The following is a 16508-nucleotide window of genomic DNA, read 5'->3' on the forward strand; positions in this document are numbered from 1 at the left end:
TTTCTTAACCCTAGACTAAGGGTCACCAACTACAGCCCACAGGGTAAATCTGGCCTACCACCTGTCTTTCTAAATAAAGTTTGATGGAGTACTACTAGCTTATTTGTTTGTGTATTGTCCGTGTCTACTTTTATGTTAGAACCACAGAGTTGAGTAGTTGCTGCAGAAAACATATGGTGCACAAAGTATAAATATTTATTCTCTGGCCCTATAGAGGAGATTTGTATTTTCAGTCAAAATAATAAATTGAGCCTTGATTTGTGGTGTTTGCTGGTTTCCATAGTATAAACATTTCCACTCTGTTTTCAAGTTATCAATGCAATATGACTAACGATAACAGCTAAGTATAGAGTTGGGGAGAAATGCTCAGTAGCACATCATTGGATGGAATTTACGCCATACCCATGCAAGGGGGCGGTAAGCAAGTCCAAGAACATAAGAGTAAAATGTGGTAAATTTTACTTAAGTTATGAAGTTGTAGATTGAATTGTCTCTCTCAAAAAAGATATGTTGAAATTCTAAAACCTTTGGTACCTGTGAATGTGGACTTTATTTGGAAATAGGGTCTTTGCAAACGTAATGAAGTTAAGATGAGGTCATACTGGATAATGGTGAGTCCCAATTTCAGTGGAGAGAAAGATTTGATGACAGAGAAGAGACACACGGAAGGCCCTGTGAAGACAGAGGCAGAAATTGAAGCTATACTGGCACAAACCAAGGGATGCCAAGGATTACCGGCAATCACCAGAAATTGGAAAAAGCAAGGAGGAATTTCCTCCCCCTTTCCCCCTTCCTGAGCATTCAGAGAGAGCCTGGGAACAATTTGACTTCAGACTTCCAACCTACAAAACTTGTGGTAACTTTGTGGTAATGTATAGCTGTGGCTTTTGGAAAAGAATACTGAAGCTGTTGACCTTTGAGTATTTACTACTTCTGTTTTTCACATAATTAATTCCATTGTATATTTATATAATTTAATTTTTAATAATGGCTATGTTGAATAAGTTTGCAGAATTCCTGAAGATTTGACAAAATAATGCGCTAGTTTGGGCCTGCTCCAGCACACCATTCTTAAAACAATCAGGAGTGATAAGGCCACATGTTCCCCTGGGGGAGGGAAGAGAGTTAGAGCCCAGCTTTACTTCCAGCCTTCCATGGTTCTAGAAAGCCAGTTCTGTTAAGTGGGAAATAACAATGAGAGATATTAGGGAGCAAATAAAACTCAGTCCTTGCTGTTTAAGCTTTAAGTTTTGGATCTGATTTGTCTGAAAGGAACTGAAATGAGAGCCCAAGTCATAGGCATAAGAAATGAAACTTGATTTTGAAACCCACCTGATTGTGTTGCCTCATCTTTTGATGTGATTCCTGTTTCAGTCAAGACTGGCTCAAGTAGTGCATGGGACTGAATATCAGTTGCCCAATCTTGGACTACAAAATAAAGCAGCAAAATAAATGAGGTGGGATCTGTTTTGAACCTTAATTTAGAAATAAAAAGGTTTTGAATTTTCAAAAGTACGTTACTCGTTGCCTAATTTTATTGGTATTTTCTTTCCTTTTTTATTTTTAATTTTTTTTTTTTTTTGGGACGGAGTCTTGCTCTGTCACCAGGCTGGAGTGCAGTGGCGCAATCTTGGCTCACTACAGCCTCCGCCTCCCAGGTTCAAGCGATTCTCCTGCCTCAGCCTCCCAAGTAGCTGGGACTGCAGGTGCTCGCCACCATGCTCAGCTAATTTTTGCATTTTTAGTAGAGTCGGGGGTTTCACCATGTTGGCCAGGATGGTCTCGATCTCTTGACCTCATGATCTGCCTGCCTTGGCCTCCCAAAGTGCTGGGATTACAGGCGTGAGCCACTATGCCCGGCCTTCTTGTGTATTTTCAAAGAGTATTTTCCCCAAACTTCAGATATGTAGTAAATCCTGGTAGCATATAGCTCTTAAATGCATATGTAAACATTTTAATTTTAGTAGCACTTTGTGTTGAAACTGCTCATCCTCTGCCAAAGGAATACGCATTCTATGTCTCATTATTTTAACCTTGAAGAGCAAACTGCTGAACATTTAGTAATGGGAAGACATGTTTAGGAATAGAATCATGTTAACCAGAAATAAGCATTAGATATGAAGTTCAGCTGAGTAAAAACCAAGTTCTTTATTACTAATGAAGTGACAGATGCAAGTCCTTTCTCTCACCCTTTTTATCCCTTTCTATTCAGTGGTGAGAGAAGTTGATATTTGCTGACACTTTACAATCACTTGAAAGTTAGATTTCTGGTTTCCTGTTGACAGGCCAGCTTGTAACTCCTCAAGGTCAAAAGTACTATTTTATATTCTGCCAGTAACTACAGGGAATTCTGATCCATAGGTTATCTCTTTAAAGAAAAGTCCTTTGGTATACTAAGTAATTGGACTGTTGTCCTTTTCCTCTATGCCTGTGTTTAACCAATAATATGAAGATTTCATTATCATCATCTCCCAGATTGTTCTCCTGGCTTAGTTTGGACATTTATTGAAACACTCCTTTTGTTGCATAAACGTTGCCTGTAACAGAGGGGCTGCACTGATTTCACAATGAGGGAACCCTGTTTTGCACTACGTATTGTATGTTGCTCTTTAGCTTGTTCACTAATAATAATACTATAGCCCTGGATACCAAACCCCAGTTAGTCAGAAATTCTACAGGTGAAATCACATCACTTGGAAATATTTTGATGCATGGAATGATAATGCTTCATCTCGTGGAGTGGAAAAAAAGTATATAACTAAATTTGATATTTGACATTTTAAAGGTAACTTGCAACTTAACAAGAAAAGTGATGATTGGGTAAACTAAAATAATATATTCAGCCTCTGAGTTACACAGTCAAACCCCTGACATAGAGGACAAGGCTGAGAAAGGCATTCTTTTAAAAATTTTTAACTCATCAGGCCATAGGCTATTTCACAGGTTTCTAAATAAAATGATTAAGGGGAAAGTTGTTTTTTTTTTTTCCTATTTTTTAACCTATATAGAAATAAGAGTGCTAGTACTGTTTTTATCGTTGATAATTTGTGGTATTGTGTTTTTATAGAAGGAAATTTAATGTGATATTTTTGTAATGCATCAAATTGATTTTCATACTTTAATTTCCATTAATCCATTAAATTTCAGAACCATTAGGAATAAGTAAAAGGAAATTGTCCACAAATACACACACACACACACACACACACACACACACACAATCATTTCTACTCTTGCCCCAAAGATACATTTTAATCAACTCTACCTTCTGCTGTTGTTTGGAGTCTATTACCATTTAATGTTCTAGGCCTGACTTCTAGGCATTTTCTTATTGTTTTCAGTCACATAGAGAGAGCTCAGAGGAAGGAAAGCGGCAACTTGATGAAGATTATACTGATGTTCTTTGGCAACATAGGTCCTCCTTTGGCAGAAGAGGCCATCTTCACTATGGGGTGCAGATTCTTAGAAAATAATATTGGAATTCCTCTAGGTTGAATATTAAAATAGCCATGACACTTGAGGAAATCACTCTTAGGGTCCATGCTTAAATTAGATTCTTGTAAAGTTGCATGATGTTTCTAGGTATGCATCTCAGAGAAACAAAAATATATGTCCACAAAAGCCTTGTACAAGGATATTCACGGCAGCCTTACTAGTAAGAGCTACAACCTAGAAACAATCCTCTCTCTTGTCTAACTAGAAAAGGATAGATTATTGAATAAAGGGTACGTTTATTTATAATGGAATACTACATGGGAGTAAAAAGGGGGACAAAGATCTACATTGGTTAATCTCAGAGATCTACATTGGTTATGTTGAAGGACAGAATTCAGGCTCAATAGGCCATGTATTCTATACTTCCACTTCTTCAAAGTTCTAGAACCTGCAAAGCAAATCAATGGTGATGAAAATCAGAAGAGTTCTTGCTTTGAGTGAGGGGAGTGAACTGGGTGTGAAGAAGCATGAGAAATATTTCTAGAATAAAGGAAATGCCCTATATCTTAACAGGCATGTAGGTTACTGGTGTATATATTTGTTAAAATTGATTGTGTTCTTAAGATCTATGCATTCACTCTGTGTAAATTATACCTCACTATAAAGTCACCAGGTACTTTGGAGAAAATAATGATTTTTAAGTTACTTTTTTATACATAATAATTTGCCTTCCTCCAATTCTCTTAATTTTTTCACAATACAATCCCATCTACTATATTATTTTATCCTGTGGTTAATAAAGCATGGATGGAAGGCTTCTGACAAGAAGGCTTCTGACGAGAGTAGGGAGCACTAGAAGTCTGTCTCCCTACCTACACAAAAATTGCACTGGCAGAATCAGTCTGATGTAAATATTTTGAAACTCTGGAGTCTGTTGAAGGCTTGCAACTTCCAAGGGAAGGCTTAGATGGTACATTTCAGTTAATTTATGACCATTTCACCTCATAGCACAGTAAGAGCTACCCATCCCTTGTCCCCAGCAGCTCACACACAGATTGCAGGGCCAGGGTTGATGAAAAATAACCCTGCTTTCCAAATGTCAGAGATCTTTGCTGTGATTACTGACTTCTGTTTCTGATCACAGAGGTGCAGACAAAGAGGCAGTGCCCACTTTTGTTGTGACTCCCCCTCCTTATTGTTGCAAGCCAGTTCTCCTCTAATTGAAATGATTTCCAGGGAACTTAAAGGACCAATAAATTTTTCTCCTTCATTTCTCTCTTTTTCCTCCTTTTGGGAGCCAGACATTGAAAACAAGGATATTGAAAAGTAATTGCAGGCCAGGTGTGGTGGCTCTCGCCTGTAATCCTAGCACTTTGGGAGGCTGAGGCAGGTGGATCACCTGAGGTCAGGAGCTCAAGACCAGCCTTGCCAACTTGGTGAGACCCCATCTCTACTTAAAATACAAAAATTAGCCAGGCGTGGTGGTGAACACCTGTAATCCCAGCTACACAGGAGGCTGAGGCAGGAGAATCACTTGAACCCAGGAGATGGAAGTTGGAATGAGCTGAGATCATGCCAGTCACCACTGCCTTCCAGCCTAGGCAACAGAATGAGATCCTGTCTCAAAAAAAAAAAAAAAGTAATTTCATATATGGAGAAATTAGAAAGTCATTGTCCATGCACAGGGGAAGACACAGGCTGAGAAAACACCAGAGAAGACTTTGAGTTTATACCTCTAACTAATCCTCTATACAGATACAGCCTACAACAATAAAAAACCAAAAGCAAAACCAAACAAAAACACCAGCAAACCTGAGAGAAGGGAGGAAATATAATTTCCAGAGTTATCACATTATTAAAATAAAATGTCCAGGGTACTACACACACAAATCACAAGGCATACAAAAAAATAGAAAAGGATGTCCCATTCAAAGGAGAGAAATGAATGAACAGAAACTCTTCCTGAAAAAGAGCTGATGGTGGATCTACTAGACAAGTACTTTAAAACTACTGTCTTACAAAACAAATTGGGCAAGTTTAAGGCATAGAAAAAGTCAAGAAAACAATGTATAACAAGACGGGAATATCAATTAAAAAATAGAAAACCTAAAAAAATTCTGGAACTGGAAAGTACAATAACTAAAATAAAAATTTACTAGAGTGATTTAAAGACAGATTTAATCAGGCAAAAGAAAGAATCTGAACTTGAACATAGGACAGTGGAGATTATCAAGTTTGAGAAACAAAAATAAAAACTTCTTTTAAGTGAATAGGCCTAAGGGGCTTGTGGGACACCATCAAGTGAACAACATCACATTGTAGGGTCTCAGAAGGAGAAGAGAGACAAAGAAAAAGGCAGAGAAAATACTAAAAGGAAGAGTCTGAAGTCTTCCCAAATTTGATGAAGGACATAAATATTAACATCCAAATATCTTAACTAACTTCAAATAGAATGCATTCAAAAAGGCAGACCCACACCAAGACATATTATAATTAAACTGTGGAAAGACAAAGAATTTTGAAAGCAACAAGGGAAAAGCAACTTGTCATATATAAGGGCCTCTTAGTAAAATTATTAGCGGAATTCTTGTAAGCTATATTCAAAGAAAATAACCAAGAATTCTATATCCCACATAATTCTTCTTAAAAGCTGAAAGAGAAATTAGGACTTCCCATATACACAAAACTTTACGACTTTTTTTTTTTTTCCCAAGACCTACTATGAAAGAAATTATAAAGGTAGTCAATCAAGTTGAAATAAAAGGACATTAGACAGTAAAACTTGAATTCCTATGAAGGAATAAAAATCTCTGTAAAAGTAAATACATGGGAAATTATAAAATTATTGTAACAATGGTGTGTGAGTCCACTTTTTGTTTCCTTTGTGATTTAAGAGACTAATATATATTTTAAAAATTATTAGATTAAAAGGTAGTATTATTATAACTGTGGCTTGTAACTCTAAATTTATTCTCTGGACAGTTTAAAAGACCAATGTTTTTTAAAATTAATTAGCTTATGTTTTTGGACACACAATGTATAAAGATGTAACTTTGTGACATCAACGACTAAAAGAAGTGGGGACTGAGCTGTTAAAAAAGCAAATTTTTTGTAGGTTGTTTAAGTTAAGCTGTTATAAATTCTAATTAGAGTGTTATAACTTAGGATGTTACAGAAAATCCTCATTGTAACTACAAGGACAATAGCTAAAGAACATAACACAAAAAAAAAAAAAAAAAAAAAAAAGAAGAGAATGTAAACATTTCACTACAAAGAAAATCAACTAAATACAAAATAATTCAGTAATACAGAATGAGGAACAAAACAGCTATAAGGCATATGGAAAACAAATAGTAAAATGATTTTGGTAAGTCCTTCCTTTGCATTCATTGCTTTACATGTAAATTGGCTAAACTCTTAAATAAAAAGACACAGGTAGCAGAATGGATGTTTAAAAATAATTCAACTATAATTGAATAGTCCCTAAGAGTCTGACTTTAGATCCAGACACACATAGGTTGAAACTGAAAGGATGACAAATGATGTTCCATCTAAATAGAAACCAAAACAGAGCACGACTGGCTTATACTACATATGATAATACAGACTAAATCAAAAAAGTTTTTAGGAGACAAAGATGTTACATATTAATAAAAGTTTCAATACAGCAAGATCTAACAATTACAAACATTAATTTACCTGATTACAGACCATCAAAATATATAAAGAAAAATGGACAGAAATGATGAAAGATATAAACAGTTCTACAGTAATTATAGGAGACTTCAATACCCTACTCTCTATATTGAATATAACAGGTAGACAGAAGATAAATGAAGAAGTAGAGGACTTAGACAACACAATAAACCAGGTAGATCTAACAGGCATATACAGCACACTACCTAATAACAATAGAGTACACATTCTTTTCAAATGCACATGGACATCTTCTAAGATAGACAATATGTTAGGCCTCGAATTAGTCTCAGTAGATTTAAAATGATAGATATCATGCAAAGTATCTTCTCCTACCACAATGGGATGAAGTTAAAAATTCATAACAAAAGGAACCAAAAAAGTACTAATTTGTAGAAATTAAATAACACAATTCTAAACAACCAATAGATCAAAAAAGAAATCACAAAGCAACTTTAGAGAAAATGTTTAGAGATAGATGAAGACAAAAACACAGTATGCCAAAACTATAAGATATAGCAAAGCAGGGAACAACAGGGAAAATTTATAGCTCTACAAGCTTACATTAAAAAAAAAAGAAAGACCTCAAATTAACAACCCAAGTTTACAACTTAAGAAACTAGAAAAAGAAAAACAAAACAAAACCCAAAACTAGCAGCAGGAAGGAAAAAATAAAGATTAGAAATGAGAAAAACAAAACAAAGAAATGAAAAAAAAAAAAACAAAGAAAATCTATAAAACTAAAAGTGGAGTTTTTGAAAAGAACAATGCAATTGTCAATTCTATAGCTAGATGTACTAAAGAGATGAGTCCAGTTACTCAAATTAGAAATAAAAGTGGGGATATTCCTACCAATTCTACAGAAATAAAAAGGATTATAAGAGAAAATTGTGATCAATTGTATGTCAACAAGTTGGATAACTTAGAAGAAATGGACAAATTCGTGTAAATACAAAAGCTACTAAGACTCATCCATGAAGAAATAGAAAATCTGAATAGATCTGTAATACTGAGGACATTGAATCAGTAATCAAAAATCTCCTGACAAAGAAATGCCCTGGATCTCATGGTTTCACAAGTGAACTCTACCAAACATTTAAAGAGAACATCAACATTTCTCAAACTCTTCTGAAACAATTGAAGAGGAGAGCACATTCTAAACTGATTCTGTAAGGCCATCCTTACCCTGATCCCAAAGCCAGACAAAGACACTACGAGAAAACTACAGACCAATATTTCTTATAAACTTTGATCCAAAAATCTTTGACAAAACACTAGTTAACCAAATTCAACAGCACACTTAAAAGATCATACAACATGACCAAGTGGAATTTATTCCTGTAAAACAAGAATGACTTAACGTGCAAAAACTGATGTATGTTGTTTATTATACAACAGAATGAAGGAAAAAACCACATATTGATCTGAATAGCCCAAACAATACAGAAAAAGCATTTGACAGAATTCAGCATCCTTTTATGTCTGGAGCTGGTTCCTTCTGGTGGGTTCTTGGTCTCGCTGACTTCAAGAATGGAGCCACAGACCTTCGCGGTGTTACAGCTCTTAAAGGTGGCACAGACCCAAAGAGTGAGCAGCAACAAGATTTATTGTGAAGAGCGAAAGAACAAAGCTTCCACAGCGTGGAAGGGGACCCAAGTGGGTTGTCACTGCTGGCTGGGGTGGCCAGCTTTTAGTCCCTTATTTGTCCCCACCCATGTCCTGCTGATTGGTCCATTTTATAGAGTGCTGATTGGTCCATTTTACAGTGTGTTGATTGGTCATTTTGCAGAGCACTGATTGGTCCATTTTACAAACCTCTAGCTAGCCACAGAGAGCTAATTGGTGCATTTTTACAGAGTGCTGATTGGTGCATTTCACAAACCTCTAGCTAGCCACAGAGTGCTGATTGGTGCATTTTACAGAGCACTGATTGTGCGTTTTACAAACCTCTAGCTAGCTACAGAGTGCTGATTGGTACCTTTTTCAATCCTAGCCACAGAGTGCTGATTGGTGCATTTTACAATCCTCCTGTAAGAAGGAAAAGTTCTCCAAGTCCCCACCCAATCCAGAATCCAGCTGGCTTCACCTCTCACTTTCATAATAAAAATACTTAAACTAGAAATAGAAAGAAAGTATTGTAACATAATAAAAGCCATACATAGTAATCCCACAGCAGGCCAGGCATGGTGGCTTACGCCTGTAATCCCAGCACTCTGGGAGGCTGAGGCGGGTGGATCACAAGGTCAGGAGATCGAGGAATCCCACAGCAAACATTATATTCAATGGTAAAAGACTGAAAGCTTTTCCACAAAGATCAGGAATAAGGCAAGAATGCCCACTTTCACCACTTCTACTCAACATAGTACTAGAACCTATAGCCAGAGAAATTTTGCAAAAAAAAGGAACAAGGCATCTAAACTAGATAATCTCTTTTCACAGATGATATGATGTTATATTTAGAAAACTTTAAAGATTTCAGAGAAACATTTTTAGAACTAATTAGAAAATTCAGGAAAGTTGCAGGATACAAAATCAACATGCAAAACTCAGTTACATTTCTATACACTAACAATAAACAATTTAAAAGAAAATAAACTATTTCATTTACCATAACACCAAAAAGAACAAAATATTTAAAAAGTATCCAAGAAAGTGAAAGATTGGTATGATAAAAATTACAAAACATTGCTAAAAGAAAATAAAGAAGACATAAATTAATGGAAACACATCCCATGTTCATGGATTGGAAGAGTTAATATTGTTACCATGTCAGTACTACCCAAAGCAATCTATAGATTTAATGCAATTCCTACTAAAATCCCAATGGTGGTTTGCAGAAATAGAAAAAAATTCTAAAATTCATATGGCATCTTAATTGACCCTGAATAGCCAAAACAATGCTGTACAAAAAAAAAACAACAAAAAAAAAAAAGAGAGCGAACACAACCAAAGGACTCATACTTCCTTCTTAATTAGAATACTTACTACAAAGCTACGATAATCAAGAGTGGTATATTGACATAAGAATATATATATATATAGGCCAATCAAACAGAATAGAAAAACAGAAATAAAGCCTCTCATATAAGTCAAATGGTTTTTGACAAGGGTACTAAGACCATTCAAGGGGAAAAAGAATGTCTTTTCTACAAATGGTGCAGAGAAAAGTGGATATTCACATGCAAAAGAATGAAGCTGTGTTCTTACCTAATACCATATACAAAAGTTAACTCAAAGTGGATTCATGACCTAAATATAAGACCTAAAACTCTAAAGCTCTTAGAAGAAAACATAGGGCATATTCTTCACAACATTAGATTTTCAGTGATTTCTTAGAGATGACACTGAAGGCACAGGCAGCAAAAGAAAAAATAGACAAATTGAACTTAATAATTAAAAAATAATCTGTGCATCAGAAGACACTATCAACAGGGTAAAAAGGCAACATACAAAATGGGAGAAAATATTTGCAATTCATATATCTGATAAAGAATTGAAATCCAAAATATATAGAGAACACCTAAAACTCAACAGCAAAGAAAAACAGAGTTCAAAAATGGGCAAAGGACTTGAGTAGATATTTCTCCAAAGAAGATACACGAATGGCCAATAAACAGATTAAAAACTACATAACATCATTAATCATTAAGGGAATGCAAACTAAAACTACAATGAAATACCAGCTCATTCCCATTAACATTGCTACTATTTTTTAAATGCAGAAATTTAGTGCTGAGGGGGATGTAGAGAATTGAAACCCTTGTGCACTGTTGGTGGGAATGTAAAATGGTATACTGTGGAAAATAGTATGGCAGTTCCTCAAAAAAAAAAAAATTAAAAACGGAATTACCATATAATCCAGCAAAGCCACTTCTGAGTATATACCCCAAAGTATTGAAAGCAGAGTCTTGAGGAGATAGTTGTACATCTGTGTTCATAACAGCATTATTCACAATAGCTAAAATTTGAAAGCATCCCAAGGGTCCACCGACAGACGAATGGATAAACTAAGTGTATTGTATACATACAATGGGATATTATTCCGCTTTCAAAAAGAAGAAAATTCTGACATTTGCTACAACATGGATGAACCTTAAGGACATTATGCTAAGGAAAATAAGTCAGTCACAAAAAGACACTGTATGATTCCACTTATACGAGATACTTAGAATAGTCAAAATCATACAGATAGAAAGTAGAATGGTGGTTTGCAGGGTCTGTGGGAGAATGGATTGAGAAGCTCTTGTTTAATGGGTATAGAGTTTCAGTTTTGCAAGATGAAAAGTGTTCTGTACACAGATGATGCTGATGCTTGCACATTCATGTGAATGTACTTAATGCTATTGAACAGCACACTTAAAAATGGTTGATGGTAAACTTTATATATATTTTACTACAATTTTAAAAATTTAAAAAAAAGGAAAGCACAAATGTTGTATCTATTTTTATAAAAGAAACTAAGTCTTTAAGGAGGCAGAGGAATTACTTATATCATACGGTTCTAGCAGGACTGAAGCTCAAATTATAATTCCTAGATCTCTGACTTTCACTTTAATCCAGACTGAATCTGCTAATGTAAACATACCCTAGTTACAAGCAAAAGGTGGGGATACAGTGGTACTCATTCTTTCTAACTCAATCCACACCTCTTCTTAGTTAAAACCTTGAGAACAAATGTAACAGTTCAAAAAAGGTTAATTTAATTTATATTCTGCCCAAGGTGCATACATTAATTTAATGACTGAAAAGTTTTTGTTGAGTAAAAGCATGCAAAAATTCTTGAGCTAAGCTATTGAATGATGCCAGCAACAAAGTTCAGTGGATTCGTGGCAACTACCAGTTTATTTCCTGCCTTTTGAGTAGAATACCACTCTTTTTAATTATGTGAGTCAAAATTCCAAATATATGCAATTTTTATCTGTTTCTTTTTTAATTGTGGTTTTCTATTTAAAGTCTAAACGGAGAATTCTTCCCAAGTTGGAATGTACTTCTTGGGAAACATTTACAGGAGGTGTCCAAGGTATCCGTCCTCAAATAAAATTCTTAAATAAATATTCTGATGCATTGCAGAGGAAGCTCATAAATGTCTCTTTTTGCAACATAAACAATATAATACCCCTATACAAGGTTGAGGATATATAAATGCAGTGTTTTAATGTTAGAAGTTAATTTTTTGGGTGTTAATCAAAGATGTTAGGTCAAAAAATGATAAAGCTCAATAAAGAAAAATATATGCCTACATTTGACTATTTGTTCTTTATACCATCATTTAAACTGCATTTTAAAGAGCCATTTCCTAGTTGAGATATATTGACTCAAAATCATTAAAATAATTGTCTTGGTTTTAATACGTCTTTTTTTTTTTTGGAACTAGATGTTGAGTATTTCATGTGGATTAGGGAGTCTACTAAATACTTTACATATATTATGTGTCATTTTCTTCTTACAACTGCCCAATAAGTTTGGTTTTAGATAAGAATATTGAAGATTTTAAAATGTGTCACTTAGAGCAAGTTAAGCAGATGGCAAGCTAAAGGACCAGAATTTATACCTAAGCAGTTTGATCTTACAACCCTCACCTTGAAGTACTATTTTGTACCAACCCCTGGACAGAAACCTTATCCACAAATAGAAAAGTAGGAGACATATCCTGGGAGGGTTTGTTCTGTCAATCCTTTTTTAAAAAGAGGGGAAGTCACCAGTTACCATATTTCACTCTTGACTCCTGAAGCACCGCAAAACCTGATATTTTCCTGGCCAGAATTTATTTCAGCATATATCTGTAATAAAATATACAAACTCAAATGCTAAAAGGAATGAAGAAGGGCAGGGAACGTGCATGAAGAGATGTTGCTGTGGAGATGAGTGGGGTGCACTTGTGTACTCTCCTGTTCTTTCAGGCATAGGCAATAACCACCTAATTAAAAATGGATGAAAAGAACTACTGGCTAGTATAATAGTAAGTTCAGTGGTAATGTGGGATTTTGAACTGACTGATTCTAATGTTTATTCCTCTGTCTCCCTGAAATTCCCCTGGCTCTGTCTTCCTTTGTGTAGGGTTTTATCTTCAAGACAGTAGTAGCAAGATGACTGCAGCAGTTCCAAGCCTCATGATCGTGACCAATAGTATCTAGGAGAAAGGGGAGGGACAGCTTGGGAAGCTTCTCAGAAGATATAGGAGGAAGGAACTTTTCTAGAAGCCCAAGAAAGTATCTCCTAACATCTCATCAGCCCATATTTGGTCATATGTTCTAGGAGGAACACATTTCTCCTAAAAGAGAAAATTCAGAAACTGAAGGGGTCACCTTTCATGGAGTCATAAAGGCTACTTGAAGTTGTATATCTGAACTGACATATTTCTGCCAGGAAAAGGAGAGGAAATAAAGGATGCTAGTCACTGGTGTCTTCTACACCCCTGCTTATCTCCAGCCAATTACCGTTTTTAGGGACTCTGGGGTGAGGTATTTGGGTTTCTTTATGAGGAAAGCTGAAAATTTTATGAGAATCACTTTTATGTTTAAAAATAACTGCACATGATTAACGGTTACAAATAGTTTGATAGAATAAGTAAGACCTAGTGTTAGATAGATCAGGAGGGTAACTATAGTAAACAATAATCTATTGTACATTCCAAAATAGCTAGAAGAGAAGAATTTAAATGTTTCTAGCATAAGGAAAAGACAAATATTTAAGGTAAGAAATATCTCAAATACACTGATTTAGTCTCTACAAATTATATAACTGTATTAAATTATCACATGTATCCTCAAACTCGGCATATCTATTACGTACCAATAAAAAATGTGGGCTGGGCGCCGTGGCTCATGACTGTAATCTCAGCACTTTGAGAGGCCGAGGCTGGCAGATCACTTGAGATCAAGAGGTCAAGACTAGCCTGGCCAACATGCTGGAACCCCCGTCTCCACTAAAAGTACAAAAATTAGCCAGCCATGGTGGCATCCAACTGTAATCCCAGCTACTTGGGTGGCTGAGGAGGGAGAATTGCTTGAACCTGGGAGGTGGAGGTTGCAGTTAGCTGAGATCACACCACTGAACTCCAGCCTGGGTGACGGAGCAAGACTCTATCTAAAAAAATAAGAAAACTTGCTTAAAAAATAAAATAAATGCACAGCCAAAGAAAATGCATTTTCACTTATATACTTGATATACTATCAAGTATAGCCCATAGGGTACAGTAGCATCTGCTCTAGGTTGTGGTCTAAAATTGGGTAAGACAAGGGATTATTGAGAACTAGAAAACTAGGAAGAGGCATAGCGTTCTGTGTTTCAGCCATCATATTGCCAAGGAAGAGATTCTAGGCAATGCCAGAAATGGAGCTGAGATCAATACTTGAGAAAAACAAGCAGAAAGACTAGAAGAAATTATGTCAACTGGAACAAACTGACAATATCACCAACAATGCTTTTTTCCCCAGGATAATTTTAAGTAGGCTGCTTTGGCCCCTTCTAAATGTATCACTCTGAACTTAACATACAACACATAAAAGTTTTGTAGAAACTGGAATCAATTCTTATGCCATTAATTGTTATGCCAAATCAGTTTAACAATCCACTGTCCCAGTGACCTATAAGGTTGCCACTATTCTTACTATCTTCCTTCCATCTTTGATTGAGCTCTCACTGTCTACCAGGCACTGTCCTATGTTTAACCTATATTAACTTGTAAATCTTGTGAAAAGATTGTTTTGCTCATTTTACGGATGACAACAGACAAATTCGTAAAAGGGCAATGAGTTGCCTAAGGTCAGAGGCCCTAGGAAGTGACAGAGGCAGAATTTAGTTCCAAATCTGCTGGACTTCAACACATGGCTATTTTATTACAAAGTTATTTTGCCTTCACTATCCTTATCCCCACTATCACCACCATGCAGGAAATAAGTATGATTCTATCACACTACTTGAGACAAACTAATGTTATCAGCATAAGCATGGGGTACACCTTCTGGAGAAAAAAAAAAAGTGTATCTGCTTTTAAATTTCTACAGCTAGATAACCTACATTGTTTTATTTCAACATAGACACATATACCATTCATGTATATCTGCCTTGTATCTTACCTGTCTTTTTCTTCCACACTTATCTTTGCCTTGATTATCTACTCTAGGGTTGATCTGTTCACTGAGTAGTTGAACAGACATTTATTGGGAATCCAGCACTCCCTAGGACTCAGTTATACTTTTCCAGTCATTATTTATGTGTTTCCAATATCCCTGCTTCTTGCTTTCCAAATATCGTGGATGTCTTTCTGATTCTTTCCTTCCTACCTTCAAGTGAGTTATAAATAAGATTTTTTTTTTAAGTGTCAAGAGTTTTCAACATTCTTTTAGTTCCAGGAAATTTGGGACTAATGGTGAATGTAGATAAAATGTCTGGACTTTTTTTTTGTTTGGTTTTGTATTGATTCTCATTTAGTATTTTGTTAATATTTTAGTTACAGAGTGTGAAACAGTTTGCCTTCTTTTTTACTTGCTGTGTGTTGTATGTTCTTTCAGGGAAGAATCCCATTCTACTTAGTCCTCCTTGAAATTAGAGCCTGGCTCCCTCAACCTTAACACTTGCCAGCACTCAGCACAGTGTCTTGCTCTTTGTAGATTCTGAGCATACATTTGTAGGATGGTTGGGTTTGTTGTATTTCAAAATGTGTCTGTTGATTATTAAAAATTAAAACTATGAGCTGTGTGATACCATTCTTAACCACACGTTGTTTTTTGAAATCTGTTCCAAAACATACAAATTCTCTTTTTCTTCTTATTTTTTTTTGGGGGGTGGGGGGTGAGTGGGTGAAATAGTACAACAGAAACTATGAGTTATTTTTGATGTGGAAAGGAAAGCCTCACCCTGTAAGGAAGCCATGTAGAGAATCTGTAATGAGAATAAAAGCAACAACCTCATCCTGGGCTCTAAGCTTCATGGCCCTTGAAGACTTAGGATTCCTTCACAATCAAGTGCAAACAAGTCTGTGTCTTTTAAAAATAAAGCTCATTTTTTTTTTATGGGAGACAGTTTATAGTTTATCAAAAAGCTGGATTAAGGTGCTTAATAAATCATGCTGCATAGAATGCAGGGACAAGAAAGCACGGTTGTCTAAAATAAAATATGTTAGGGATACAAGAAAAACACAGATGCTTAGTGTGATTCACAGAGTCTTTATGAAATAATCAGATAATATTTATTAATCATCTACCTAGCTAAAGTAGTGAAGAAATAAAAAGACACAGTGAATGTACACAGTCTGGCTGCTAGAGAATTTCGTGCAAATCTTAGCATTTGAGCAAATTTTTTTTATGATTTAGAAGAAATGAATTAACACTCCCCATTACAAAAGCTAATTTATTTGTCTTAAGGCAAAGGATATT

At 35.5% G+C, this 16508-nt stretch overlaps 1 long non-coding RNA gene across 1 annotated transcript; it reads right to left on the reverse strand.

Annotated features, from left to right (window-relative positions):
• Nucleotides 1-595: 595 nt before the first annotated feature.
• Nucleotides 596-3350, reverse strand: LOC105377705 (uncharacterized). The gene is made up of 3 exons (XR_941181.4): nucleotides 3266-3350; nucleotides 1333-1428; nucleotides 596-672 (listed from the first exon to the last, which is right to left on the reverse strand). It is a non-coding gene; the product is annotated as an uncharacterized LOC105377705 (long non-coding RNA).
• Between the last annotated feature and the right edge of the window lie 13158 nt (nucleotides 3351-16508).

The sequence above is a fragment of the Homo sapiens genome, chromosome 5 (genome assembly GCF_000001405.40).
Source record: "Homo sapiens chromosome 5, GRCh38.p14 Primary Assembly".
NCBI lineage: Eukaryota > Metazoa > Chordata > Mammalia > Primates > Hominidae > Homo > Homo sapiens.